At 44.9% G+C, this 4,673-nt stretch overlaps 1 annotated feature.

Annotated features, from left to right (window-relative positions):
* Positions 3,918-4,419: an enhancer, noted in NCBI's record as "H3K4me1 hESC enhancer chr6:5937911-5938412 (GRCh37/hg19 assembly coordinates)". NCBI's record gives its function as "activates a minimal SCP1, AML or CMV promoter by ChIP-STARR-seq in primed H9 embryonic stem cells {active_cell/tissue: H9 hESC(primed)}" and the evidence as "EXISTENCE:reporter gene assay evidence [ECO:0000049][PMID:30033119]".

A 4,673-nucleotide genomic window follows, 5' to 3' on the forward strand; every position in this document is an offset into this window, starting at 1 on the left:
GTGTCCTCGTAGAGACCCTGACATCAGCTAGCCAGCAAACAAGGGTCAACACAGAGAGAGACTAAAAAGGCACATCCACTCTTAACTGGCTTAGTGTGGCAGGAACATATATCTGCTCACTTTCCATTGGTAAGAATACAAGAATACATCATATGGCTCCATCTAACTCTAAGAGGGCTCAGGACTCTAAGAAACCTTCTCAAGTTTCCGAGTTGTTTTGCAAAAAGTAAACACAATCATGATCTTTTGGCTACAACTCCATCTACAGGGTGAGCAACTTCTTCTCTTCATTAACTCTTCTTGGTGTTTACCTCTAGATTTGTTGGAAGGAGAAAGATGGGGAAAGGAGGGTAGAAGCACCCTCTGGAATGCCCCAGGTAGCTATCAGACACATTTCAAGTGATTCTCACCTCTGTTTTATTCTATATCCTCACTCCCGCCTGGAAAGTTTCATCAAAGGAGTCTGTATTTAACACAGAAAAAAAAACCTTCAAATATGCCAGTTGGTAGTTTTGGCCCCCTTAATTATGTGATGTCAAGGTGCCACAATCTAAAACAGTGTTTTGGGGATTGGCAGCACCCTTGCCCACTGTGTTCCTGCAGAACTAAGCTCTCATGTCACAGATGCTCTCTTTGAAGGTCAAGAGGAGGCTCCCAGTGATAATTATCTGCATGTAAAAGTAACATGGCAAAGCTCCGCCCCCGTCCTTCCTTCTGCCCTTCTTGCATGATCAAAGCCCAGAAGCAGCCTCATGGATCACAGCCATTTTCTCTACTCACACCTTGCCACCCTGTCTTAGGGGCCAGAGAGATAGGAATTGGCACCCTTAGGCTGATTTAAGGAACATTTGTTATTCTCTGATTTCCAGGCTATTTAGCACACAGAAGAATCACTGCCAAATAACAGAGAGGGATGGTTACAACTTGTCGGGCCCTCAAACAGCCTCTCCTCCTTCTCCAGACTCTACCCAGTGTCACCTTAATGAGAATTATGAGGACCATGGTTATTCTGAAGGGAATCTGGGCCACTCTAGGCAGCCGTTTCCTACTGAGCCGAGAGGAGCTAACAAATGAGGCAGGGAAATAAATAGGCTTATGCCCGCTAACTCCCCTGAATGCTGTTCCCATTAAAACACACCCATTGGAGGAGACTTCTCACTTGTAATTGCCACCGATAAATCTATCACACCACACATAGTTTTACTGAAGTCTAACCCGCCAATATAATTAAACAAGGAAAAGGGAGCAAATTTATTCATGGCGATCATTCATCAGGCTCATGTTTAGACTTCTGTTGTCAACTATTACCATCTCTGTTTTACACTGGAAGCTTCTTCTATAGCCATTTTGCTTCACAGACAATATGCTTGCATTTCACAAGCACACATGGGTATCCTACAAGGCACTGCCCTTGAAAAATGTTTTTCAAGTACGTGGGATATAAGTTGGAGTCCTGACTCTGTATACACAATGTGCTACCTGTGTGACTTTGTTCAAATTATTCAACCTCTCTGAGCCTGCTGCCTTCTATAAAGTGAGCATAGTGACACTCACCTGCACTGTTTTGCATAGAATAGATAAGCATAAGAAACAGGACAGAGGAGGTGCCCAATAAACATTGGCCTTTCTATTTTTTTCTTTACCTTCCTGACCTTTCTATCTCTCTCCTTTCTCTCTTCTCAGGAGCATTCGGTAGTTTTATAACCAGGACCCTAATTAATGAGCTTGCTGAGAGCTGGGTGAAAGTTGCCCAAATGGAGAGGTGACGAGTAGGTGTATATTCCGTGTCAAAGCAAATGAAATTGAGCTCATTAGAAGCAAAACACCTTACAAAAGAGCCAAATGCTAAAGGCACTGTAGAAATATAAAAGAAGTCACACTCTGGAGGCAGTTCTCTGGGGTGCCCAAGTTCTAAGGAGCCACTGGAGGAGACATCGGAGCCAGCACTCACCCTTTGGCCTCCATGGTGAGCTCTCCTGGTTTTACTTCTTCCTCCTTCTGCTTCTTTCAGCTCCTTTGACAGCTCATCCTCTTCCACCCAACTTCAAATGTTACAGTTCCTCAGATGCAGCCTTGGGCCCTTTTTATGCCTCATTCCACATTCTCTTCCTAAGCAATCACATCCATGCCCATCGCTTTGGTTACCAGGCATACTCTGGTGACTTTCAAATGGACTTCTTCTGCCCAGATATATGCTCTGGGTTCTAGACCTGTCTATCCTTCTGCCTCCATGTCATCTATTAGATGTCTCAAGGGTACACCAGATAAAATTGGATAAAATAAACCAATGCTATTCATACCTGCAAACCTGGTCCTGCTGCAATGTTTGCTGACTTGGGGAATTGTGCCTGCAGCCAAGAAGTTGCCTGGAAATCATCCTTGTCTCCTCTCTTTCTCTGTCCATCCTCCATCCAGTCGATCACAAATGCAGCCACAAATTCCAATTATAAAGCTGCTAGTCTTTCTCATGAGGCTGTGATGGCCTGTGCCGGCTCTTCCACCATCCAGTTTGGCCCCACCCACTCCATTCTCCAGACTCTAAATGGAGAGATCTTTTAAATATCTCATTGTTGCACTCATTACTCACCCTGTCATATCCACTTCCTGTGGAAAACCTTTCAAAGGACTCTTATTGCTTTCAGGATGAAATTCCACATCCCTAACACCATTTATAAGGATCTACCTATCAGCTAACTTCATCCTTATTGCCTCATCTCTATTTCTGAGGACCAGCCACCCAGCATTTTTAATCTCCTGGACACACTACCATTTCTCCCACCTCAGAGCCACCACGATTGCTCTCCCTCGCTTCAGAATACTTGGCTAGTTTTTGCTCATCCATTAGATCTTATCTTAGATATGACTATGTCTTATTGGTTTTAAAGCATGTTTTCTACATTTTAACATCTCTGAAGTTAGGGTGCGTACGTTGGCATGGACTGTTGGCTGGCAGCTGCTGGGACCTTGTTGTCCCCCTGTGCACACAGCGACAGCATCAGCGTCAAAACTTGCAGGATGGGGTTAGCGGCTTGGCAGTAAGCCCCGGAGACAATGTGGAGCACTCTTTTAACTCCTAGCAAGCAAATGGTTGTAGTATGAGTGGGGGCGGGAGTGGATCCGATCTGTGTGGCAACATTCCCCAAGCAGGAATCAAAAATAGGTTAGCTCTACATAATTGCAAATTTGGCTTAAGAGCAAAGTACCAATAGCTTTTAGTTCTGTTATAGATTCTCTTAAGAAATATCATATCATCAGTGCTCTTAATGGCACAGGGAATGATATTGTGGGGAAAAGCCTAGACATTAACCACGCTGCATTGAAAGTGATTAGGAAGAAATGGATTCTGAACGTAAAGAAATTCTAGGAATTCCTTAAGAACCTATTTTGCTTATATTTCCTCTCTTAACTATGCACAAAATGATATTTAATTAAAAAAGTCAAATTAAAGGTAAAATGAATATCTTAAGTCTTAAGACAGCCTTGTGTCATATTTAATTGGAAACTTTTTTTTTTCTTAGTGGTACATACAATAATGGTGTGTCTCACATTTGGTGACATCTGAGACTTAATGAAAAACAGTCGCTCCTAAGAGCAGGCTTTGCTGACGCCTCAAATCAGGACAGGCCATCTTTTTATAAGCTCTCTCATATTCTGGTAGCTTCTTATATGACTAATAATAGCTGTAATAAATGGTAAATTAGTCATTTCATATCTGCAAGATTGTAAGTTCAATACGAAAAGAGACTGTATCGTTCATGTTCACTTCTTTTCCCAGAAGCTAGAATGCAGGGGTTGCATAAGAGATCTTCGTTTGAATAAATGAATGAGTCTGATCAGGACTATTCTCTCTTTTTTGGGCGGTGGCCCAGAAATCGACAGCTGCACCAAAATGCTTTAGGTCATGGCCCAGGTCACAGAGCTGGGAAAAAGACTGTGTGGGGGAAGAGCGAAGCTGCACAATGAGAGGCCCTTAGCTCCCCGAAAGGCAATTATAACTCCAGCAGGCACAGCGAGCTGGCAGCACCGATCCACTGCACACCTCATGGCAAGATGCCTCGTTGTTCCCTCCTGGCCTCACAGCTCTCGTCTGCTTGTCCCTCTGGGCACATTCACAATTTATCTGAAAAGCACATTGTTCCTGCCCCGGGGATTAAGGCCTCAGAGTGGCAGGAGTCGGTGTGTGAAAATGAAGGTGTGACAACGAAACACACATACACGCCCCATAACAAACCTCTTCCCTTTGAACAGTTAAAAAAGGCTTAAGAAGGCCTGTCAGCCAGTGTTTGTGTGGGTGAGGCTGGAGTTTTGTAAAGGGAGGAAGGAGTTGGACCACACTTGCCTGCACGGTGGCCCTGGGACACACGTCCCTTGGTGGGCTCCTCAGAGCTCCTCGAGGGCCACCCCAGCAGGGGACCCCGGGGGACTCTCCCAGCCTCTTGTCAGTTCTGAAGACACCTGAGAAGGAAGGTTAGCAACGAATTCACAGCCTGAACCGCTGGGAGTCTTCCCTTCATTACGCCCCCAAGCAAACGAGGCAGCGCCTGTCTGCTTTCCACTTCTGTGTCCAAGGGGATGAGCAGTCACTTGCCACAGTACCCTGGGTGTTCTGTTTTGTTCTGTTTCCATCCGAAATGGCAGTCCGTGGAAGGAGTGGGACCATGTGCTCACCAGAG

This window comes from Homo sapiens, chromosome 6, assembly GCF_000001405.40.
Source record: "Homo sapiens chromosome 6, GRCh38.p14 Primary Assembly".
In the NCBI taxonomy this organism is placed as follows: Eukaryota; Metazoa; Chordata; class Mammalia; order Primates; family Hominidae; genus Homo; species Homo sapiens.